The sequence below is a fragment of the Homo sapiens genome, chromosome 2 (genome assembly GCF_000001405.40).
Source record: "Homo sapiens chromosome 2, GRCh38.p14 Primary Assembly".
Taxonomy (NCBI): Eukaryota; Metazoa; Chordata; class Mammalia; order Primates; family Hominidae; genus Homo; species Homo sapiens.
The window spans coordinates 217,371,509-217,398,044 of NC_000002.12; the positions used below are offsets into that span (position 1 = coordinate 217,371,509).

The 26,536-nt window shown below is 42.2% G+C and overlaps 1 long non-coding RNA gene across 12 annotated transcripts in view, besides 1 other annotated feature; it reads right to left on the minus strand.

Annotated features, from left to right (window-relative positions):
• Nucleotides 1–26,536, minus strand: part of DIRC3 (disrupted in renal carcinoma 3) — a 506,425-nt gene that overhangs the window by 87,490 nt on the left and 392,399 nt on the right. The gene's annotated exons all lie outside the window — the stretch shown is intronic.
• Nucleotides 16,733–16,902: an enhancer, noted in NCBI's record as "experimental_56988 CRE fragment used in MPRA reporter constructs". NCBI's record gives its function as "activates a minimal promoter by MPRAs in K562 erythroleukemia cells, with activity observed for the introgressed 2:218253049 variant allele {active_cell/tissue: K562}" and the evidence as "EXISTENCE:reporter gene assay evidence [ECO:0000049][PMID:34662402]".

The window sequence follows — 26,536 nt, forward strand, 5'->3', positions numbered from 1 at the left end:
TTAAAGGCCTTCTAATTTGCAAGTCTTTTTCCTGTGTATAATTTCATTTGATCTTTGAAATAATTACCGCTATTTAGCAGACAAAAAAAATTGAGGCTGGGAAAATTTCAGTATTTGTTGAAGATTACACGACTAGTAGATGCCAAAGCTGGGAAATAAAACCCAGGTTCAAATCCAAGATTCCCTCTGGTAAAGTGAGGCTGACTCTTTACGGGAACAAGCTTCTCTCCTGTTCTCCAGGACCTCTGAGGAAGGAAATCTCACTCCCTTCTTCCGGCACCCAGGAACCTCGCTCCTTTATAGGAATGAAGTTCTGGTGTTCATTTTTGCTAAACTGCACTCGTGGGTTTGGCTGAGTGATGCCTGAGGCTGGGGGTGGCGGGCAAGAGAATGTGTGTGCCGTGTAGCTCCTGCCAGCCCTGCAGAGCTGGCATTTTCTACAAGAATGCTTGCTTCTCAGAAACACTGTTGATAATGAGGTTGCTCATTTTTAAAATGCTGTAACTGATATTCTGGGAAAACAAACCTGGTTCCAGAAGTGCAGCTGTGGTGTTTGGATTTAAGCTTGGAGGTAGTTGTTTAAGATGAGCTTTTAGCTGGCCTGACGACCTGTCAATGGACTGCGACGGGGCGGCACAATCAGGCCATTGTACTAACAGAGAAATCTCAGGGCTCTTCAGAGCCTAAGAGGATTGTGAGAATTCCTGAACCTGGCACCTACTAAAGTGGACTTTTCACCTCTTGGGACCCTGGTAAAGATGAAGAGAGAGAGAGTTTCAAATCAAAAGAAATGTGCCACGGATTACAAGAAATCCCCTCTAGCCTCAGTCAGACTTGGAGGACATGCAAATGCATTTGAATGGAGGAAGACTATTTGGGGCCCCTGGGAAACAGGGTGGCACAGAGCAGTTTCCTGGCCTCGAAGAGGATGCAGTTTTCCAAGATGTGGGGTTTGCTTGTGCATCTCCATGCGCAGGGCAGGGGGCTCAGCACAGTAATAACCAGAGTCACACACCATAGGCAGATCCCTGGCTCTGCTTGGAGGGACAAAGATTCAGAGCTGGGCGGATCATCAATAGACCATCTACACCAAGCCCCTGACTCCTGAACTACATTCTTTCCATCATACCCGTCACTCCATGTCTATTTTCTCAGTATTGAATGAGAAAGGAAATGAATGTTTACTGCATCTAATTATGTGCCAGGTGCCTCATTAAGTTTATAATGGAAATCACACAGTATGATAATAGCCAATATTTAAGAAGAATCTAGTAGGTGCAGGCATGAGTCTAATTGTTGGATACACATTAACTTATATTTAATTCTCACAATAGCCCCAAGTGGTAGGCTGTGGTGAGTATCTGAGACAGAGGCACAGAGAAATGTTCTTAGCCAGCAAGCAAAAGAGCTGAGATTCCCCGCCGATGGCTGTCTGACTCCAGAGACCTGCTCTTTGCCTCATGTCAAGGGTACAGCCTGAATCAGATAAGGTTCTCTGTCCCCAGTCTGGACACATGGCCCCTTTTGAAATTGTTCCAGAACAAGTTTCTTCCTCTTTTCCTACCTGACAATTCCTCCAAGAGGCAGAGCCAAAGGAACCTTCCACTCCAGGATTCATCTGAAAGTCCTCAAAGACAGCATCTCTTAGCATTACATTGCTAAAGGTTTTAAAAACCTGCCAGTCCTTAAAAGTTTACCAACCCTACTGAACCAATAGGTATCTAGTGGTGACAACACTGGCTATATTTTTAAAAATTGGCATACATTGCACTCAACACTTCTGTTTGTTCTGTGTTCTGCTTTTAATTGGTGCTTCATATTCTACATAATCTAATTTAGTAAGTCTTTTCTTTGTGAACTGTGTATGTCAACTGATAGAAAGTAGATCCATTCTCAAGGAGATAATCATAGGCCGGAGCTAAAGAAGAAACATCTTTACAAAACACAAACATGAACATGGTAACCTTTGGTTTGCAAATTACCTGGAGATTTTTTAACCCTTTGGGATCTTGTTTCTCACTCACTATCTCATCAGTCTGGCTTCTTCCCACAGCCTTGCCCTGGAGGCTCCAGGCACAGAATTACAGTGGCACAAGCCCTTCTAGGGTGATTGTGCCTTGCACACACAGCTCCCTGAACACATTCAGACCGAGCACCACATTCCTTCTACCTGGCTAACGCCTGTGAATCTGCCAAAGCACCATCACCCCCTCCAGGAAAAATACCTTCACCAGACAGCATCTGGGAAGTCAAGTCCACTTCCTAGAGGTTCCCCTGTACTCTGTGTCTACCACCTGCTATCCTGACACCTATCACCTCCAACTGTTATCGGCCAAGTCCTGATGACATTGTGAATTCTTTGAGGCAAAGACTATACTCCTTTGACTCTATATCCTCAGAGTCTTGATACCATCCTGGCACACAGCAGAAGCTCAAAAATGCTTGATGAGTGAAGGATACACATTTATAAATCCACTGTTTAAATAGAGTTTAGGGTTTTCAAAGGGCCCAGGCATATGAACCTCCTTTGTAAATCACCCCAAATCAAATACAATGTTCACAATAACATACAAGGATGGGCTCCATCAAACTAATTCAAATGCATAGCTGCAGCCTGTTCTTTGCTTTTATTTTAGTTTTTCGTATTGGGTAGATTTTTTTATGGGGGCGATGTTTTGGAGTACTGTGGTACAATGTTCTGCACCATAAAGAAATTTTAGTGTTTAGAAGTCAGAAATTGAGTCTGACTGTGAACTACAGCAAAGTGCATGCATGTAGGCTGTGCATTGACCACAGAATGCAAATGCTGAGCCATTATAATATATCTAGATCTACACAGGTAGGCAGATAGCTAGATATAGATACAGATATACATAGATAGAGATATAGACACAGATACAGATATTGTTATGTAGATAAATAGCTGGATATAGTTTCTTGTTATATACAGAGGAAGGTCTTGATCTTAGTTTTAATACTGAAGACACAGGCAATAATTAGCAAACTCATAAATTCGAGTAATGTTTATTTAATTTCTGGCAAATAAAATCATGATATATTTGTTTGAATTCAGTTCTCTCAGTATATTACATTTATTAGTCTCCCCTCCCCCACATGCCCCAGAATGTGAATTTAGGTTTCAAAAGCCTTTGTTAAGTTTTGGAGATCACTCTAGTCTATCCATTGTTTTTATTAGTTTGGGTCCATACAGACCATTCTCTAATTTTACTTTCATATGTGTTGAGTTAGTGCATCCATGGGCAGGGGGACCAAGAGAGGAGGCCTGAATCCAGATAGGAGAGGGCCAGAATAGAAACAGGAAATTAAAAGTAGAAAAGGGTAGTGTGTGTGTGTGCGTGTGTGTGTGTGTGTGTGTGCGTGTAGAAAAGGGAGGAAAAGCCACAATCAGGAAACCCAGATCTTTCCTCCCTCTGCCTCTCCAGCCTTGGAAATTCTTTCTGAAATACAGCTGGCATTCACTTCTTATATACTGAGCCTCGTGACCTTGGCTGGTACCCATGTCCACACTACATTTATGGCATCCAAATTGCTAATTTGGTGTTAAGGTGGATGGAGGGAGGGAGGGAGGAATTAAAGGATAGGAAGGAAAAAAAATACCCCAAACTGCAAAAGTTAAATTTCCGGCCAGGTGGCTTCCAAACCGTCCAGCAGCTTTATTCAAGGCATTGAAGTCTTGAGCCAAACAGTTCCAGATCTTCAATATTTACCCTACAGTCTCCAAAAACAAAAGTTGACTGTGTTCCTTGAAGTCAATCTTACCAGCATTTCAGGATGACAGATGGGAGAGGCTGAAAAGAATTATTGGATGACCTGGAACTTCTTGGTAAGCATTTGTTATGCTTGGCTCTCTCTCTCTCTCTCTCTCTCTCTCTCTCTCTCTCTCTCTCTCTCTCTCTCTCTCTCTCTCTGTCACTCAACACACACACAGACACACATAGACACACACACACATTTTCATTGTTTTCCTTTTATTTTTAATTTTTATTTTTATTTGAGACAGAGTCTTGCTCTGTCGCCCAAGCCGGAGTGCATTGGTGTGATCTCAGCTCACTGCAACCTCCACCTCCCGGGTTCAAGCGATTCTCCTGCCTCAGCCTCCTGAGTAGCTGGGATTACAGGTGCGCACCACCATGCCCAGCTAATTTTTGTATTCTTAGTAGAGAGGAGGTTTCACCATGTTGGTCAGGCTGCTCTCAAATTCCTGACCTCATGATCTGCCTGTCTCGGACTCCCAAAGTGCTGGGATTACTGGCGTGAGCCACCGCGCCCGGTATCTTGTTTTCCTTTTAAGGTTACTCTGCCTCCCACCATCAGTTCCTACTCTGCCCCCAACCCAGTCATCTGCTGCATTATTCATCATGTATATCAAGAACTCACCCTGGAACAGCAATGGCTAACCCAGCTCCCTAGTCTAAATTCCTTTAACCCAGCCACTTACATCCATGGACTAAGCACAAAGAAATAATGGTAGAGCCAATTCTGTAGATGTGGCAGAATCTCTATGTAGCTATGGACTTATGCAGGGCAGACCTTTGGGAAGGGGAAATCGGTGATGGGTGAACATAAAATTCTGAAAATGAAACATATTCAGGAGGCAAAGACTCCATCCCAGTCCAGCCTTGATGAGTGCTTGTCACTTGCTTTTCTCCTCACTATCAGCCATCCTTCTTTGCTTCTCCAAACTCCATTCATTGTTCAATGTTCTCAATGGTAGGTATCGCCATCAGAGTCACTCAGTGAATATGTACTGAGAACCTACCATGTGCCAGGCACTGTTCCAGGCTTGAAGCTAACAAAGTGCGGGCCCTGCTAGAGCTCATGTTCTAGGAGTAGGGGACAGACAATAAACAAATAAATAAGTAAATCTTCAGTGTATTGGATGTGGTTCATGGTATGGCTAAAAACACTGCAGGGTACATAGGAAAGAGAGAGGGGGAGCAGGTGCAATATTTGTCATATGGGCAGAGCACAGAAAAAGATGAAGGAACAAATAAGAGGCTATGTGAAAGAAGAGCCTTCCAGCAGAGTGAACAGCCAGAGCAAAGGCCCTGAGACGGGAGGGTGTGGCTTGGCTAACAAGCAGCAAGGCAGGTTGGCAGGGCCAGAGGGGACAGGTGGGAAATGATGCAAAGCAGAGAGTTTTGGGAGGACTCTGACTTTACTTCTATGTGAGATTGGAGCCTCTGGTGAGTTTTGAGCAAATGAGTAGCGTGATCAGGCTCATGTCAGACTTTGAGCTGCAATGTTGAGAATAGACCATAACTATTAAGGGGAAGAGCTAAAGCAGCCAGAACAGAGTCTTCTTCATCCATCCACACTTAGAAGGAAAGAAATAATGGTGACTTGGACCAAGATGAAGATAGTAGACATTGAACTCTGGAAGTTCTTTGAGGGTAGAGCCAACTGATATACTTGCTGATGAGTTAGATGTGAAGAATAAGAGGTGTCAGGGATGACTCCCAAGCTTTTGGCTTTAACAACTGAAATGAGCAACTAATTTCTTCATCTGTGCTCCCAGTTACTTTTATTAATGTTAATATCATAACATGTTAGTAACAATTGTGCATGTGGGCATCTCTCCACTAGATGCACTGTCTCTTAACTTTCAAAGGTCTTTTGATAGGCTGGGACTCTACTGAAAGCTATGGACTCTTGCCAATGAGGAGATAAGTATACATACACAAATTCATGCACACATTTACATCCTGAAAAGGTTTACTTCTCTCCCCAAGTTCATCCATAGAACCCCTGAGTTGTTCATGGATCCAGGATTAAAAGATTCAGGCACTAGATTTATTTGTTCTTTTAATACGTTATTATAGAGCACCTGGGACATGACAGATATAATGGGTGACCAAAAATAGCTAGACTATTTTCTCATGGAGACTGTCATCCGATGCAGGAAATAGACAAGATGTTAGTAAACAAATAAACAAGTAAATAATTATAATTTATAAAAGGAGCCATGGAGAAAAAAGCAAAGCAGGGTAACATAACCTACTATAATATAGTATAAAAGAAAACAGAAACCATCCGGGTCTTATAAACAGAGGAGATTAATACAAGGAGTTGGTTGAACACACAATGGAAAGATTAGAGGGTAATGAGACCAGAGATGAGCAACATAAGAAGCCCACTACCACTCCCAAGGATGGAGGAGAAGTCAGAAGAAAGGGTACAACTAGAACTCAGACACCTAGACTATCTGGAAGCTAGAATCGAAGAAGAGGTGCTGCTTCACAGCAGTGAGGACTAGAAGCGAGGGCTTGTCTACTGGAGATGCAACCAAGACAGAGCACGAAAGAGTAAAGTACTCTGGCTCCTCCCCTCCTCCCACTCTCCAGTTTTCTAGTAGTGCCTCCCCTTGACCAAATCTGGCCAGAGCTAGTTCTCTGTGATTCAGAGCAGAACAGGAGAGGAACAGAAATGGATCAGAGAGCAATCAGGTGAGCAGCTGACACACAGGGGAACCTACTTAGAAAAAGTGGTCACCTAACTGCTCAACGAAATAAAAGAGGACACAAACAAATGCAAGAACATTCCATGCTCATGGATAGGAAGGATCAATATTGTGAAAATGGCCATACTGCCCAAGGTAATTTATAGATTCAATGCCATCCCCATCAAGCTACCAATGACTTTCTTCACAGAATTGGAAAAAAACTACTTTAAAGTTCATATGGAACCAAAAAAGAGCCTGCATTGCCAAGTCGATCCTAAGCCAAAAGAACAAAGCTGGAGGCATCACGCTACCTGACTTCAAACTATACTACAAGGCTACAGTAACCAAAACAGCATGGTACTGGTACCAAAACAGAGATCTAGACCAATGGAACAGAACAGAGCCCTCAGAAACAATACCACACATCTACAACTATCTGATCCTTGACAAACCTGACAAAAACAAGAAATGGGGAAAGGATTCCCTATTTAACAAATGGTGCTGGGAAAACTGGCTAGCCATATGTACAAAGCTGAAACTGGATCCCTTCCTTACACTTATATAAAAATTAATTCAAGATGGATTAAAGACTTAAATGTTACACCTAAAACCGTAAAAACCCTAGAAGAAGACCTAGGCAATACCATTCAGGACATAGGCATGGGCAAGGACTTCACGTCTAAAACACCAAAAGCAACGGCAACAAAAGCCAAAATTGAGAAATGGGATCTAATTAAACTAAAGAGCTTCTGCACAGCAAAAGAAACTACCATCAGAGTGAACAGGCAACCTACACAATGGGAGAAAATTTTTGCAATCTACCCATCAGACAAATGGCTAATATCCAGAATCTACAAAAAACTTAAACAAATTTACAAGACAAAATCAAACAACCCCATCAAAAAATGGGCAAAGGATATGAACAGACACTTATCAAAAGAAGACATTTATGCAGCCAACAGACATATGAAAAAATGCTCATCATCACTGGCCGTCAGAGAAATGCAAACCAAAACCACAATGAGATACCATCTCACACCAGTTAGAATGGCGATCATTAAAAAGTCAGGAAACAACAGGTGCTGGAGAGCATGTGGAGAAATAGGAACACTTTTACACTGTTGGTGGGACTGTAAACTAGTTCAACCATTGTGGAAGACAGTGTGGCAATTCCTCAAGGATCTGGAACTAGAAATACCATTCGACCCAGCCATCCCAATACTGGGTATATACCCAAAGGATTATAAATCATGCTGCTATAAAGACACATGCAAATGTATGTTTATTGTGGCACTATTCACAATAGCAAAGACTTGGAACCAACCCAAATGTCCATCAATGATAGACTGGATTAAGAAAATGTGGCACATATAGACCATGGAATACTATACAGCCACAAAAAAGGATGAATTCATGTCCTTTGTAGGTACATGGATGAAGCTGGAAACCATCATTCTGAGCAAACTATCGCAAGGACAGAAAACCAAACACTGCATGTTCTGACTCATTGGTGGGAACTGAACAATGAGAACACTTGGACACAGGTTGGGAAACACCACACACCGGGGCCTGTCATGGGGGTGAGGGGAGCAGGGAGGGATAGCCTGAGGAGAAATACCTAACGTAAATGATGAGTTAATGGGTGCAGCACACCAACATGGCACTTGTATGCATATGTAACAAACCTGCACGTTGGCACGTGTACCCTAAAACTTAAAGTATAATTTAAAAAAAAAAGAAAAAGTGGTCACCTAGTGCCACTCTGAGAAACTGAAATTTAAATTGACATTGGCTAAATCAGAAGATGAATATCAAGGGAGAGAACATTCCAGGTGGAGGGAATTGTAACAGAACATTCCCAAGATGTTAAAAAGCTCTGTCTCTTTGGGAGTACAAGGCCTCACTTAAGGCCAATCTGGCTGAACAGCTATCCCATTCTTTACACAACCAGAGGAGGAGGTTAGGCATATGGCTATTCTTCCATAACCACCTGCCAGGTGGCATATTGCCATGGAAGCAAGCTTCGGACCAAATTCCACTAGATGCCCACACATTTATCAGTGAGCCTACAGAAAGACCGTCCTACCACCTGCTCTGTCCTTTGGCGCACCCCGCAAGTACCTTGCCTGAAATGTGAACTTTGAGGTAAAGGCAAAAATATTCCAACACCAAGATTTATTATCAGGGTCCTCTGCTTAGCAAAGGCACGCAAGGCCAAATGGAGTCGTAGGCTAAGGAGGCAACTCAGAAAGTCCTGGATTGCTGGGCTTGCCAGGTTCTTGTACTTTATTTATGCAAAGGCGGAGGGGTTACACAACCTTTCAGCTATATATCTTTTATTTCATCAATGAAAAGTTATTTGTAACATCACTTATACTAATTAATATACCTTCTAAAGCATATTCAGAAATTGATATTTAAAGTACATGCTGAGGCCATTTCTGAAGCATGGATCCTTTATTAGGGCAACTTAAGTATAACCCAGCTGCCCCTAGATTGTACACGGAAACTAACCTGCACACTCAGATAACATCACACCGTTTAAACGAAAGCACAGTAAAGTTAATTACAGACAATGAAACAGAGGGGATGAAAGATGCCAGTGCTGCTGGAGTTTCACTGGTAAAGATGAGAGTAGACTGACACGAGGCTGCAGAAGTGAGAAGGGGGTGAGTCTCATAGGCCATCTTAAGGGATGTGCGTCTCATTCAAACTGCATTGCAGGACTTTGAACAGGAGGTAACATAATCTGATCATGCTCACTGCTTTGTGAAGAATGGATGATAAGGAGGGAACGTGACACTAGGTCATTGAAAGTGTTGGAGTTACTGGCATCAACCCATCATGGTGGTAGTACAGATGGAGAGAAATGGAGACAGATGAGCTGTGTTTTGAAGATAGAAACTGAGGAATTGTGTCAGTCTGTTTTGTGTCACTATAAAGGAATATGTGAGGCTGAGTAATTTATAAAGACAAAAGGTTTATTTTGTCTCACAGTTCTGCAGACTGTACAAGCTTGGCACCTGAATCTGCTTGGCTTCTGATGAGGCCTCAGGGAGCTTCCAATCATGGCCAAAGGTGAGGAGGAAGCCGGCGCATCACATGGTGAGAGACGGAGCCAGGAGGGAGGAGGTGTTGCCAGGTTCCTTCCAAACAACCAGCTCTCACGTGAACTAACAGAGCAAGTACTCACTCATCACTGAGGGGATGACAACAAGCCATTCATGAGGGATTCACCCCCATGATCCAACACCTCCCACCAGACCCCACCTCCAGTGCTGGAGATCACATGTCAACATGAAATTTGTTGGGGACATACATCCAAACCATATCAGGAATGAAACTGGATGATTCTGGAATGGTGGCAAGGGAGAGGTTGGAATCAAGGATGCCTCCCTGGTTTGTAGCTGATGTAGCTTGCCAGAGAATGGTTTATTTTACTAAGATGGGAGAGGCATAAGCAAGAAAAAGATTTGGTGGTGAAGTGGAAAAAGTGAAGTCAAAAAGGTTTCGTTTTATACTTTTTAATTTTGTGACACAAAAGCAAGGAACACATGCTTGTCTTATTTATCTATGTATCCACCTGCATGGCCTTGACTGGTGCTTAGTACATGTCTGAGTAATTAGAATAGGCATGCTATTCTTTTGTCACTTATATTAATGTTTAACACCTCTCCCTGTGCCTTCCGCTTTTTCTCCCTCTCCCTACTCCCCTTTCTCTTAACATATATAAAATAGCAGTTCATTTTCAGATGGTGGTTCAAATCATCAAAGATAAGGTAAACCAACAATATAATACATTTTAGACAGAATTAAACGTTCTGTAAGGCTTGAGTTGCAAGGGTGTCACCAACAAGAAATTAGAAATCAAACGAGCTCAAGTAAATGCAGTTTGGAGTCTGGATGAAAGAATGCATCCCAAGAAATCCCATGTCTCTGAGATGGATAAATAGCCTTCCATTCCAATTGAAGATCTATTAATGCATTTCCTTCTCGCAATGCAAGTGATGCCATTGCAAATGCTATCATTCCTGTGGGTAGATGTGGCTATAATTTTCTCATCTGTAAAAGGAAGGAATTACAGTGGATTATCCCAAAGACTTGAAAGTTCCCTGTCAGATCCTTCTCATCTTCTAGAGTTATATGGAAATGCCTTTTGGGGATCAGGAACACAACAGCTCCAGCTGTGGCAATCTCTCTGGTAGAGCCCCCATAGAATACACTGAAGGGCACCATCTGTGTAAATATAACACAAGTTGGGGGGAAGCATTAAAATATCTCTATCTATCTATCTATCTATCTATCTATCTATCTATCTATCTATCTATCATTCCTACAGAGAAAGGAAAGCCCTTCTTGCTATCATCTGGAAAAATATTATTCTCCCTTTTCTTTATTTCTTTATATCACACAAGGAAAGAGATAATAGTACTCTGTGGCTTACTACGTTTTGGAAGCACAGTTTAAGAATTTTCAAGCAAGAAAGTTCTACTGAAAGGCTCAAAAGTAAATTAAAATTTAAAAAGTATTCATGCTATGTCTCATAACTTACCAACAAACCTTCCAGGACTGTTCACATATTAAATTGTATATAGTACCTTTTTCCTGGGAAGGGAAATAGATATAAGTCCATAACCAGAGAGAAAACTTTACTGTGAACACAGGATGCATATTTATGAAGTCCAGAACATTTTACAAAACATGTCATTATAGTCTCCTATTCAATCATGAATCTATCCATGGTTATAATTGAGTCCAATTTGGCCCTGAGCCTCCTGGTAGCCAAAGCAAAACAAAGCACAAAATCAGCTACAAAATACTCATTATGATGAAGAAGGATGCATACCATTTTGAAAGGACAACAATAAAATATTTTGTTTAAATATCATGAGGCTGCAGGGAGCAGAGAATGATCTGGTAACAGTAACTAACTCCTCCGCTGCAGAGGCAGTGACATTTCATGTGGTTTGTTCTTCACTGAAAGTCAAGGGCATCACGTTAAAGTACAATTCAGTGAAGGACTAGAGCAAAACAGACCTTGAGAGGTGCAGCTGGAACCAAAGATAAAAGCAAATCTAGAATGCACTGTCTGATATGAGGCCGTGAACCACATAAAACTGGAAACGTTAGTCATCCAAATTGAGATAGACTGTGGGCATAAAACGCTCACCAGATTTTAAAGTTTTTGTGCCATAACAATGAAAATAAGGGAAGAATATCTCAACATGTTTTATATTAATTATGTGTTGAAATGATAATATTTTGGATGTTGGGCTAAATAAAATATATTACTAAAATGAATTCCACTTGATTATTTCCCATTTTTAAATGTGGCTCTTAAAAATTTTTTAATTACATATGTGGCTCACAGTTGTGTCTTGCATTATATTACCGTTGGATAGTGCCAGCTCTGGAGGAGTGAGCACTTGCCACTTCACATTGGACTTGCTGCTTTCTCTCCTTGCCCATCATTCTCCCCATCTATGAACTGAAGGACCCTAATACCCATCTCCAAGAGTTAAGTGGGCTGGCTTGTGGAAATTGCCAAATACAGCATATGGCTCAGCCGTCTTCCTTTGCTACTTCTCTGCCCCGAAGCCTACCTTTGGGGCTGAAAGTGGGAAAATATTCTGACTCCTGCAACAGTCCTGCCATGAGATTTCCCTGTGACCCTCCACTCCCTGAGGTCCACGACTGTTTCTGTGCCTTGAGGAAGTGCAGTATTATGTGATTTCAGTGTCTCAAGACAGATAACCCTGACCCCCTGGAATAACCAGCAGGATGACGGGGGTTGGGAGGGAGGCTGTTTATAGAAGACAGGGGTCAAACACTGCTCAAGGACTTTGTTTAAAATTCTTTTTTAACCACATAGCTCTATGTTTGGGTTTGCTTCTCTCATTAAATAAATATCTGGAGAGTCTTCATGGATCACCCCAGATACGTATGGCCAAGGTTTTTAAGATAATGAGTCACACTCTTGGGTTACGCTTAGTGGATTCCCAAGTTGGGGCATCTAAGGATGGTCAAGAGGGGTCAGTGAGGGATGGGGTGAAGTTCTTCCCAACAAGGCCAAGAGAAGGAGACCCTTTTAGAGTTATGTGCAAGATCCCTGCTCACCAGCAAATTGGATAAATTTCTTATGGAGTCAGTTCAGGTCAGCGAGAAGGCACAGGGAAGAGAATGACCAAGACCTTATGATATGAGAGAAGAGAATTTAAGGGAACAAGAACATCTTGTTAACTTGAAGTTTGCCCAAGACTCAACTTCGTGTTTGAATGAACATGTGCCAATTATTTCAGATTAGCACAAAAACAATAAATTTGTGTTTTGTTTTAACAAAATATATTGAAAAGCTGAGGACATATTTGGAGTTCTAAATTTGGTATTTGTAGTTCTAAATTTGGTCCTTGGCAAATTTAAGTCACTTTCAACTCAAACTTTCCTTAAGGGAGAATCAGAGATAGAGGAAACAGTAAATAAAAAAAAAATACTTGGGGTAAAAGAACTTTTTTAAGTTAATAAACTTTATTTTTTGAGTAGTTATAAGTTTACATAGAAGTTGAGCAGAAAGTACAGAGAGTTCCCATATACTCCCTCCCTTCCACACACATACAGTTTACCCTATTTTTAACATCTTTGCATTAGTGAGATCGATACATTTGTTACAACTGATGTACTAATATTGATACATTATTATTAGCTAATGTCCATAGATTACATTAGACTTCACTTTATTGTGCAGTTCTATGGGTTTTGATAAAGGTATGATGTGATGTATCTACCATTACAATAGCATGCAGAATAGTTTCACTGCCCTAAAAATCCTCTGTGCTCTAACTATTCATCCCTCCCTCCCACCAGCCTCTGGCAACCATTGATCTTTTTCCAGAATGTCATATATTGGAATAAGTCAGGATGTAGCTTTTCAGACATGTTTAACAATACACATTTAGGGTTTCTCCATGAGGATTTAAAAAAATTAGGAAAATAACACCTTTCTGTAGAGATGGGGAGAATAAGAACAAATAAAAGGCAAATTTTAGGCTGAGCTATTGTCTCTGGCTCGTAGTATCTGAGAAATGGAAAGGACAAACTCACCCTGGAGGAGAAGAGCCTAGGACAAGAGGAATGATGCTGTGTGAAGTGGAAGGGCAGGCACAATCACACAGGCACCTTGGGAGGATGGGGCTGGTGGCAAGGGAGGAGGAACCTTGAGTTTATTCACAAAAACTGACTTGATGACTGAACCATAAAATAAAGTGAAGTTTTGCCCATTTTCTCTACAGAAGACAATATAACCCAGTTTTCCAAAAGGAGTGTAGGTGAGATTTCTCCTGGAAACAGGAATATAATATAATACCATTTAGATCTATTACTCTATTGTTTTTTTCTTTAGTTTAATTCAATTCCTAATTCTTGACTCAAGAGTATAACTTTTCCCTTCAATGGGTCAAGCTTGCTATTTTTTTTTTCTAGATAGTTTTTTTCTCCATTCCCATCTTTTTTTTTTCTAGAACCACATATTCCAGTTCATTTCATTACGGGATCCTTACTGCAATACAGGGGAGTTTGTGCTTAAGAAAAAAAAGACCCCAAAAAAGCACCATTCTGGAGAAAGCCTCACACTCTATGTGGTATTTGACTATGTGTTCTAATGACATATGCTCATATCTCCTCTGAAAAACACTCAGGGAGCCACGGAGAAGAGGGGCAAAGCATTTTTCCAGCTTGAACCCTTTGGAGTGGTGTCCGAGTTGGAGGAAAAGGCCAGCCATCCTGCTAAATGCACCAGTGAAAGAAAATATTCTGGCAATGTGAGATGGAAAAAATAGAACCTACCAGAATGACTCTTAGGAAGAGTACTATAAATGCTTAGAGGGAAAATGAAGTCACTTAGGGACAAGGAGGTGAGACCCTCCTTCCCCCAAAGGTTAAGCTTAACTAACCCCGGATATTTGATAACCAAGGAAGATGAGTCCATTTGACTCAAGGTCTTTTGATTCTTGAATGCAGTAGGCAAATTTGGGGCCAGGAATTACCAAGGACAATAGAAAACGGACTGAGTGTCCCACCCAAGGGTCTTTCTCCTTTTCTTTTTCTCCTATATCACTCAGCTTTCTCTACAAATTCACTCTGAACAAGCATTTGAAGGAGCGTTCAGAGTATCAGATTATTTATTTTCCTGGCATTCTCTAGTGTTTCTCTGGCCCCCGGTAAAGTCAAGTGTCCATATCAAGATGCATCTCTCTGAAAGGCAATGCTGCCCAGTGTGGGTGGCAGCAGCCTGAAGTCAACAGGTTTGCTTATTCTAGTTCCTCTGTTTGGAATTTTTCTCTTTCTTCCCTCTATAGCTGCCTATCTAAACTCTTTCTGTAAGGTCCAGCCCAAATGCGTCTCCTTCATAAGCCTTACCTGGGATTAATTTATTCTTCCTTTGTAGATTCATAATTACTTAGAGGTAAAAATAAGGAAAGTATCATGAGACTCTATAACAAGGCACAATGTGATGCCTCTCACTAGAATGTTAGTTCTGGACATCAGCCATGTCTTCTTTCCTATCTTTGTGTAGGACTCATACTGGGTATCGCAGTTCACACAGAAAAGGTACTAGATAATTTTGTTTGTTTGTTTTGTTTTTACTATCTTTACTGTTAATTCAGGTGCTAACTAAATTGCCATCCATTGTCCAAAATCACCCTCTGGGACCAAAACCATGGGATGTGACCCACATCAGCTGCTAAGCAGCCAATGCGTGATGTGAATTGTTCCAGGGGGCCTGGCCCTAAGAGGATATTTACCATTTAACCATAGAGTCAATGTCTGACTAGCATCCATCTGTCTTCTCCCAGTAACATCACTCTGGGTTTCCTTTGGGAAACACTCCTCCCCAGTCTTCATTCAAGTGGTTTGGATGGGGCTAAATCTACGCCCTATTTGTAGAGGTAGATGTATGGTGCAGACCTACCTTGCATTTCATCTCCTTGGACAGAGTGTTTGCTTCCAAGGTGGCCACAGGACCCAAGCTGGATCAATGAGATACAACCTTAGGATTTTTGATGGAACTCTTGGGAAAGAGAGGCTCTTCTTCAATGGTTCCTAAGCCTTGAAATGTATGTCTAGGGATACCATTCTGTCACCTCATGCCCAGAGCCTGCCAGAGAGTAATCTCAACACAGGAAGGAGAGAGCTGACATATGGTAGCAGGTAGAGTTGTCCAATAAAATAGAGAAAGCAGTACAGGGACATGTTTATACTACAAAAAAGTTGTTCATTATTTATATGAAATGTGAATTTCACTGGGTATGCTCTGTTTTTATTTGCTAAATCTGGCAACTTGAGCAGCAGGCAGCCTCCATCTTGGGTATTGCATTTCTGAACCCTCGCATTAATCTACACTCTTGGGCTTCTCAGTTATATGAAGAAGTGGCTACCAGTTTTTTTGTTTGTTTGTTTTTGTTTTTTCTTAAGCCAGTTTGACCTGGCTTTCTATTAATTCTGTTAACTTGCAACACAGAAGTTACTCAGTCACATAGAAGTTCTGCCATCTTTAAGAACAATAGGTGTTCTCTTCTAAAAGAAAATATCCTCAGGAAAATATCTTGCAGGCACCAGTGGGTCATGTCATTGGGGCATAGGCCAGAGAGGTAGAGAGCAAGACCAGGAATCTCTGCCAGCTGTTGGGGGCATGGAAGGTACTCAAAGAGATAATATTTTATACCTGAGGCAAGTGGAAAATAAGCCAGTGACAAGGCCACCTGGAGCAGGATGGAAACACTAGGGCACCACAAGCTGCATGGGCTAGGATCAAAGGAAGTCATCATCACCAGTGCAGGCAGCTCCATGCATTCCCTCGTGTCCCCAAGAGTAGCCTACCTTTAAAGACTGCACTCCCAACCTAACTTCTGGGCTATTTACAATGAACAAGAACAGACTCAAATCTACAATACAAACCCTAAGTGATGGAAAAAAGCCAAAATATTCTTGTGGTTTGAGGGGGCAGAGGAAAGAAAGGCAGGGGAGGAAGGAGAGCAATTCATTTCATAACAGCCTCTGTCACTTGCCATCCCCACCTGGGGGAAGGACAAACTGAGGGCAGTCTGGGTGGGAGAGCAAACAGAAAAGTGTCTCTCTGGCACCTGAAAGCAAGCAATCTGATCCCAGGGCCCCAGAGACAGGGCTGGAGGACAAAGCTTTGCTGGGGTGAGGGAAGGCGATGAGCTCTGTGGATTCCAAAGCTTTCTCTGCCCTGCCCTGTCTCCGGGCACCAGCGGGTCATGTCACTGCAAACAAATAACATGGGGAAGCCTGCCAGGAGAAATGACAAGGGTATTTGCCAGTTGAGAAGGCTTCTACCAGTCAGTCTGGACTGGGACATCAAAGAGTTCCCTCTTCTTGACTTGGATTTCTAACACATTAGCCAGAGCCTTTTTTTTTTTTTCTTTTTAGACGGAGTGTCACTCTGTCACCCAAGCTGTAGTGCAGTAGCAAGATCTTGGCTCACTGTAACCTCCACCTCCCAGGTTCAGTGATTCCCCCACCTCAGCCTCCCAAGTAGCTGGGATTACAGGTGCATGCCACCATGCCTGGCTAATTTTTATTTTTATTTTTAATTTTTTTTTGTATTTTAGTAGAGAAGTTTCACCATGTTGCCCAGGGTGGTTTCAAACTCCTGAGCTCAGGCAATCCGCCTGCCTCAGCCTCCCAAAGTGCTGTGATTACAGGCATGAGCCACCACACCCGGCTGCCAGAGCCTTAATTAAGCAACTTCTGTGTGCTGGGGTGCTGGGCTTGGTGGTCATTTACATTCACTACACAGTTATTTTTCTGGTTTTCTAGCAAAATCTTTTGAAAATATAAGTCAAAACTAGTATTATCCCTATTTGGGGAAACAAGAAACTGAGGTGTGGACCTCCTTAGATCATGAATGCAGAGGAAGAAAGGCTTACAGCCATTATTAATCCCTGAATCTGTCATCATTCTTCTTTCCAGAAATCGGCACGGTGGCTTGCAGGCCAATACTGGCAAATCCTCTTTGTAGCAAGTCCCTACAACTAACTACAATGGAATCAAGTTTTTATTATTGCTTTAAAAAACTCAATGTTGTATTGGTGGAGATAATACCAACCCCACAGTCACGGCAACTGAAGGCTCTTATTGAAAGGATGCTCCAAGCTTTCTTATTGAAAGCTTGGAGGAAGGTTCAATATTATCACTTATTACTGATCTTTGGTATTCTTTGTTTAAAAGGTATCATTCCAGTCTTATATATATATATATATACACAGATACATGTATACATTTGCTATTATTACACATATTTTATGTTGTTTTTTTCATATTCATATTCACGTAACATTTTTAAAGCCCTGAAGGCAAAACAAGCTGTTACCTTTCTATTGTGATCAAAATTCATAGCTACAAATTAGATTGCACGTTCACCATAATCATCTTCACCATCCTCATAATCAATACAAAAAGCCTCTCTCAATTCAGCAAACATTATGGAATGCATACTGTGTGTTGAATACCAGGTATAAAGTAGCAGATAAAACATAGTCTTTAGCTTACATATTAGTGATGAACTCAGATACTTAAATGGAATATTTAATTAAAATATAATAAAGGAAATGATGAAGACAGGCAAAGCTTACTAGAGATACCAGAGTGGTTGGAGAGACCTGAAAAGACCCCAAGCTGGGGATTTCCAGGAACACTTCTCGGAAGCAGTGGCAAGTCCTTTTAATTTTTAATTTTATTTTATTGTGTTAAGAAAATTTAACATGGGAATCTAACTGCTTAACACATTTCTAAGTGGGCAATACAGTATTATTGACAACCATTTTGTACAGCAGATCTCTTGAACTTACTCATCATGCTTAACTGAAACTTTATGCCAGCTGACCAGTAATTCCCCACTTCCCCTGTCCCAGCCCCTGGTAACCACTATTCCATTCTTTTATTCTAGGAATTTGACTATTTTACATACTTCATGTGTATTAGTCCATTTTCACACTGCTGATAAAGATATACCCAAGACTGGGCAATTTACAAAAGAAAGAGGTTTGCCAGACTTACAGTTCCACATGGCTGGGGAGGCCTCACAATCATGGTAGAAGGTGAAAGGCACATCTCCCATGGCAGTGGCAAGAGAGAGAACTTGTGCAGGGATGCTCCCCCTTATAGAACCACCAGATCTCATAAGACTTATTCACTATCACAAGAATAGCACAGGAAAGACCTGTGCCCATGATTCAATTACCTCCCACTGGGTTCCTCCCACAACACGTGGGAATTCAAGATGAGATTTGGGTGGGACACAGTCAAACCATATTATTCCTCCCCAGCCCCACCCAAATCTTATTTCTTCACATTTCAAAACCAATCATGCCTTCCCAACAGTCCCCCCAAGGTCTTAACTCATTTCAGCATTAACTCAAAAGTCCACAGTCCAACGTCTCACCTGAGACAAAGCAAGTCCCTTCTGCCTATGAACCTGTAAAATCAAAAGCAAGTTAGTGACTTCCTAGATGCAATGGGGGCACAGGTATTGGGTAAATACAGCCATTCCAAATGGGAGAATTTGACCAAAACAAAGGGACTACAGGCCCCATGCAAGTCCAAAATCCCTCCTTTGACTCCATGTCTCACATCCAGGTCAGGCTGATGCAAGAGGTGGGTTCCTATGGTCTTGGGCGCTTTATGTCTGTGACTTTGCAGGATTTAGCCCTGCTCCTGGCTGCTTTCACAGGCTGGTGTTGAGTGTCTGTGGCTTTTCCAGGCACACAGTGCAAGCTGTCAGTAGATCTACCATTCTGAGGTCCAGAGGATGGTGGCCGTCTTCTCACAGCTCCACTAGGCAGTACCACAGTAGGGACTCTGTGTGGGGGCTCCAACCTCACATTTCCCTTCCGTAATGTCCTAGCAGAGGTTCTCCATGAGGGCCCCACCCCTGCAGCAAACTTCTGCCTGGGCATCCATGCATTTCTATACATCCTCTGAAATCTAGCTGGAGGTTTCCAAACCCCAATTCTTGACTTCTGTGCACTCTCAGGCTCAATACCACATGGAAGCTGCCAAGGCTTGGGGCTTGCACCCTCTTAAGCCATGGCCCGAGCTGTACATTGGCCCTTTCAGCCATGGCTAGAGCTGCTGGGATTCAGGGCACCAAGTCCCTAGGCTGCACACAGCAGGGAGACCTTGGACCCAGCCCACTAAACCACTTTCTCCTAGGCCTCCAGGCCTATAATGGGAGGGGCTGCAGTGAAGACCTCTGACAGGCCCTGGAGACATTTTCCCTATTGTCTTTGGGAATAACATTCAGCTCCTCGTTACTTATGTAAATTTACGCAGCCAGCTTGAGTTTCTCTCCAGAAAATGGGTTTTTCTTTTCTGTCACATAGTCAGGCTGAAAATTTTCCAAACTTTTATGCTCTGCTTCTCTTATGAAACTGAATGCCTTTAACAGCATCCAAGTCACATCTTGAATGCTTTGTTGCTTAGCAATTTCTTCCACAAGATACCCTAAATCATCTCTCTCAAGTTCAAAGTTCCACAAATCTCTAGGGCAGGGGCAAAATGCCACCAGTCTCTTTTCTAAAACATAACAAGAGTCACCTTTGCTCCAGTTCCCAACGAGTTCCTCATCTCCATCTGAGACCACCTCAGGCTGGGCCTTATTGTCCATATCGCTATCAGGCTTTTGGTCAAAACCATTCGACAAGTCTCTAGAAAGTTTCACACTTTCCCACATTTTCCTGTTTTCTCCTGAGACCTCCAAACTGTTCCAACTTCCGCCTGTTACCCAGTTCCAAAGCCACTTCCACATTTTTGGGTATCTTTTCAGCAACACCTCACTCTACTGGTACCAATTTACTGTATTAGTTCATTTTCACACTGCTGATAAAGACAAACCTGAGACTGGGCAATTTACAAAAGAAAGAGGTTTATTGGACTTACAATTCCATGTGGCTGGGGAGGCCTCACAATCATGGCAGAAAGTGAAAGGCATGTCTCACATGGTGGCAGCAAGAGAGAGAACTTGTGCAGGGAAACTGCCCCTTATAGAACCATCAGATCTCATGAGATTTATTCACTATCACAAGAACAGCACAGGTAAGACCTGTCCCCACGATTCAATTACCTCCCACTGGGTCCCTCCCACAACAAATGGGAATTTAAGATGAGATTTTGGTGGGGACACAGTCAAATCATATTATCATATAAGCAGGATCTAACTTTAGCATATGCAAACACTGTATATGTGTGATTCTTTGAATTGCCCTGCAAGCCAATTCTAACATCTTGATGGTTCCCTTATTAATTATTGAGCAATATAAAATCTTTGACATGTGCTCATCTTACAATATCTAGGTGTTTTGGTTTTACCTTTTAAGAATAGATTAGCTAAAGAGAACACACTGCATGTCAGTTTTCCCAGAGCCTCACCATAAGCACAGCTTTTCCTCAACATTATGAAAAAATGAAACTTTTCCTTAGCAACATTGCATAGTTATTTTTTACATTCCTGTCCTCTTAAAGGGTGCCCCATTTCCTTTCCCTCTCATCTCCCCTTTTATTCCCCTTTCTGCCACCCCAGCCAAGTGGTCTTCATCCATTCCCTTGCAAAATTAGTTATCTCTTTTTTTGCCACCCCCACCCCAAAATTAATTTTCTATAAAAGCCGATACTCATCATCATTACAGTGTAGCTGAGATATAAACATTAATGTGCACCCTTTCGTACAGCACTTCTCTAGCATTTTGCCAGGGAACAAAGGTTTCAGCTAGAGAAAAAAAATTCTAAAGGTTGAGACTTCTGGGAGAAAATCACAGATCATTTCGTAGTAAAGTATAAAGGCTTTTCAGATACTCTGAAATCAGACTTTGTCACCTTGTGTCCCCCCACAAAAAAATAATATTTTTGAGTGATAACCAGTACCAAATAGACAAGTCAGGCTGTTTACCAGTGGAACAGCTCCAGGTTATGAAAAATAATGCTGAAGGACAGGGTCCTTTGCTAGAAGAATGTCACTTGAGGTACAATACTCTGTCCTAAACAGTCAAACAACAGACACACAGTAGAATAAACATGTTGAGCACACAAAATGAAGAATAACAATGCATTGAGTGTGTGTGTGTACAGTGTGAGAGGGAGGCAGTGTCAACTCTCTGCTGCCACCTGCTCTGGAATGGAAGACGCTGGGTGTTCAGAAGACAACCACATTGACTTTCCTACCCTGGCTCTTCGTGATCTGCCATCTCCAAACTTTTTAAGTTTTCACACAGGGCACATGGAAAAGAAGACAAGCAGCACTTTCTGAAAACATGAGTAATGGGAAGGCTTGATCAAATGAGCAGGCAAGGCCATCCCAGGGGCTTCTCCTGATATTACTTCTCTTCATGATGTAACCTGCCCACTCTCTATGATCCGCAGTTAAATTGCTAAGATAGGTTTTTGGGTTGGACCCAGAAACCGTCAGAGTCTCGTGGTCTTAGGGATCAGGATTGCTACTACCTCACCCCCCCCCCCCACTCAGTTTAAATGGGGACAACTGATGTCTAGGGACACTTCCAGAGGTCTCAGGCTATAATTAGCTGATGAGTATCCAATCTGAGGTCTTAGATATAATGAGCTGTAGCCGACAAGGAGAATTCAGGCACCAGCACTTACCAGATATGGCAAGCTCCACCTCTCTCTTTATTCCCTTCATCTTGCTTCTGCCAGCACTCCCACAGACCTCGTGCAGGGCAGTGAGCCCATGGGAAAGAGCCAAGAATTCCTTCATCTGGGGCTGTGCCTCTGCAACCCTGAAGATTTAGGGCCAGAGATGATCCGCTTTTCAGAACTCAACAGCCAATCTTTGGAAAGAACCTATGACTCAATAGCAGCCATGCGATTCAGCCTGCACCCCTCCACCCCTCTGCCCTCACACCCCCAACTTCCAAATATGGATAGAGTTAATGTCCCACTTCTGAAACACATGTGATTGTACAGTCATTCTTCAGTCACACCACCTGAAGATGATTTAGTCCATGGAATTCATCAGAGAACAAAGAGCAAACCAGCTGCTGATTGATTGGGGTGGTGTCAGAATCAGAACTAGAACACAGAGTGGGAAATATTAGGGCCAGGAATGCATCAGCTCATTTAATTAATTTTCTGAGAATCTTTGGTTCTAGTTTCTCTTCTGCTCTTCTGTCTTATCTCACTACCAAATGAGATAATTTAAAATAATGTATATAAAAGTGGTTTGAAAATAATAATATGGAATATAATTGAAATAATAATTGGAAAAACAATGAAATGAACATAATATGGAATATCTATTATGCACTGGCCAAGTGTTTTATATAAATTATTATATCTAATCCTTAAAGCTGAAGCTCAGAGAAGTTAAGAAATTTGCCTATAAACACAGAGATCTGTCTGATTCAGAAGTTCCTCTTTTGACAGTGCAGCTATACATCTCCCAAGCTGTTTACTTGGGGTATAGACCCTGATGGCTGTTCTAATGCTCTTCAGCTTTTGGGCTGGCCCCTCTAGCTGTCTTAATGAAATACAAAACAGATCTCTACAGTGTCCCAAACAAACTCCTTCATATGCCTCCACACTCCAGAACAACTAATTGCCAACGAGGAGTTAGTGATGCAATGGCAAGGTGGGTGGCTTTGTATGAACAAGAACAAACAAGGATCTTGCCTGAAGGACACATACATTCCACCAACTCCTATGCCAGGAGACTCATTTCCTTTCAAATACCACCCATTTTACAGAACGTGTCAGTGCCCTGAGTAAGCCCCACCAGCTCTGTGTCTTTAGTTTCCAAACCGGGCTGAAACAGTGGGTGTTTAATCATTGTTTTTATGAGCTCCTGTATGTCAGCACTTTGACAGATGTTTTAAATAGATCAACTCATTTAATGCACTAGTACAAACATGTGAAATATCCCCATTCTACTGGTGTGAAAACTGAGGCCAGGAGAGGTCAAATTGGAAATTCTACATCCCTGATCAGAGCCACTAACCAAGATGCAAAAAGCAACGAAGAACCTCCACAGCTAGTAACTGACAACACGTAGGTCTTTGTTAGTGGCCAACTTATTTGACCGGAGCATCCTTATGGTTATTGAAGGAAGGTTGTACATTATTGTGGTTCCCTAAGCAGGTTGTACAACATTTCTCTCCCTCTCTGAAAAGGCTGATGTCACTTCTCTAGGTGATGTTTTGTGGTATGTGATAGGGCTGGATCACATATCTTTTAGACATCTATTATTTCATTACGTAAGTCTTAGGCTCAAAGGAATTTTTAGGAGTCATTTAATAAAATAACATGCGTTGAATCCTCCCATCTTTTTAATACTTTATAATTTCTTTCTTTTTTTTTTGTTTTTTGTTTGTTTGTTTGTTTTTGAGACAGAGTCTTGCTCTGTTGCCCAGGCTGGAGTGCAGTGGCGTGACCTCAGCTCACTGCAACCTCCACCTCCTGGGTTCAAGTGATTCTCCTGCCTCAGCCTCCTGAGTAGCTGGGACTACAGGCGCCCACCACCATGCCCAGCTAATTTTTAAATTTTTTAGTAGAGATGGGGTTTCACCATGTTGACCAGGCTGGTCTCAAACTCCTGACCTCAGGTGATGCACACGCCTCGGCCTCCCAAAGTGCTGAGATTACAGGCTTGAGCCACTGCACCCAGCCAACACTTTATAATTTCTAAGCACTTTTACATGCATTAGTTCATTTGACCCTCACCACTCTTAGAAATTGTTTCTAACTTGAAGAGTTTTGTAAGGATTCAATGGAAAGTGTTAAATGAGAAAATGTACGTTTAGCACAATGCCTGAGGCACATAATATATGCCTGCTAAATGTCAACTATTATAAATGCTAATTCTTTGGAAGTGGTAGGCAATGTGGTCTATTTCCTACCACACTCCCAAGGATCTTCAGAGGATAGAGAACTGTGGGTTTTTTTGATGACCACATCTTTCCCTCAATTTTGCCATCTTATGTTTGTTTCATTTGCTTGTTTTCTGATGATAGGTAAAACTCATGTTGTCATGTACCAGCATTCTCCAGTTAGATTGCATTATAATAAGGTGATAACTCTCTCTCTGACTCTGGAAACTGGGGAAGATCTAGTGTTTTCATGGCTGGCAGATCTGAGAGGCTGACATCAAGGACTGACTTGTTGCTCATGATGGCCTTTGGAATTCTCAACCAACAGCTTTGTAGAGCTGGGTCAGGTCAGGCAGTGGATTAGTCTGCTGGACTCAGCTCTCCACTTGGGAGCCAAGAGACAGGAGTTAAAGTCTTCTTCTTAACCACTGAGTCACTAAGACTTGAATCGGGCTCCTAGCCTTCCCTGCATGAATCCTTCCTCCTCAAAACCGCTGGCTTCTGCTTCCCTCATTTGTGCTTCATAAAGCCCCACTACATGAAGTTGGAGGAACTGCTTCAGGGGATGTAGACTTGAGGTATTTATTTCTAGTCAGCTTAAATATTTAGCCAGCCACAGAGTAAACAAGATCATGGATTATCCTTGGCAGTTAACCCCAAAAGAAAGTCAAAAATAAACTGGGAGCATGGGCTTAGAAGTCATTCCCTGGTGATACTCTGGCCTGTGGGGACTTCATTAGGCACTGTCTCCATCCTGAGAACGACCCAGCCCAGTGGCCCCAGCCTTCATGGATTCACAGCATACAGCAGCAGACCCACCCTCAGCACTCTCCCTTCTTCCTTCCTCCATGGGGTTCCAGGATGAACTCAGCTGCAAAGTGGGTCATTTGAGCCCACAGTGGAGATGACGGCTATCCTGGTAGGGTGTTGGGACCCAGCCCAACATAAATGCCTGGTGGGGTAATTACTGAGATGAGACTGGATTTATACCAAGCCATTTTCCTGTTGGTGTGGATGTGAGGCTACTGCTTCACTCTGGGAAATCATAGCATTCCTATTCATGTATCAAGACTGTCCTCAGGAAAGCCCTGAGACAAAAGCTCAAGGCTAGCTGTCTGTATAGAAAATGGGCTCACATACAATCCACCAGGAAATACCCCACTTCTCTACTGAGCAGAAGCTCTGGGAGGAGAAGCTTTGTGCAAATCCCCCCTCACCTCCTCTCTCTTTCTCACACACACAAGCACACATACATATATGCCACCCACCAAATCTAAGGGAATATTAATATTAGAAACAAATATTACTTTAAAGATCTGGGAAGAAATGGAGCCAAATAAGATGGACGAACCTAAAAGACCACATGGCAATTCTCAGGACTTACTAGCAAATATCCATCCTGCTGAATGTGACAGGACTCAGTGGGGTAGGTGCGATGGTATGGGTAGTGTGTATGAGTTCAGCTGTGTCTCTGTAAAATTCATATGTTCACATTGTAACCTCTAGTACTTCAGAATATGACCTTACTTGGAAATGGGCTCTTTCCAGATATAATCACATTAAAATGATGTCATTAGGATAGGCCCTAATCTGATATGACCGATATCCTTATTAAAAGGGAGACTTTTGATACAGGACATGCACAGAAGAAAGACAATGTAAAGAGAAATTATAAGAGGGCCATCTACAAGCCAAGGAGAGAGACTTGGAATAGACCCTCCCCTCACAGTCCTCAGAAGCAGCCAATCCTGGAGATACCTTGATCTTGGACTTCTAGGCTCTGGAACTGTAAGATAATTAATTTCTGTTGTTTAAGCTGCACAGTCTATGATACTTTGTATGGCAGCCCCTGCATGGGTGGAGGCAGAAGCATTTTCCTAGCCTGCAGAAGAAAGCACTCTGGGGGATTTAAAACATGGACTCTCTCTTTATTTTGGTCTGAGGCACACACTGTAAACACCGGAGCAATACTTAGTAAGGAGGTTCCAGGCCTCCATAACCATGTTACGTAGTATTGATGGAGAAGGTTTCAAGAACTCTCCTCCTAATCCAGTCCCCCAACATGCTCTTTTCTTAGCCAGGAACTTAAGTAAACAATGGCATAGTCCTGGAAAGTCCTATGGGTTTTATTTCTTCACTGTGGATCTGCCATATGTTCATCTGTATTCAGATGCTTGAACAT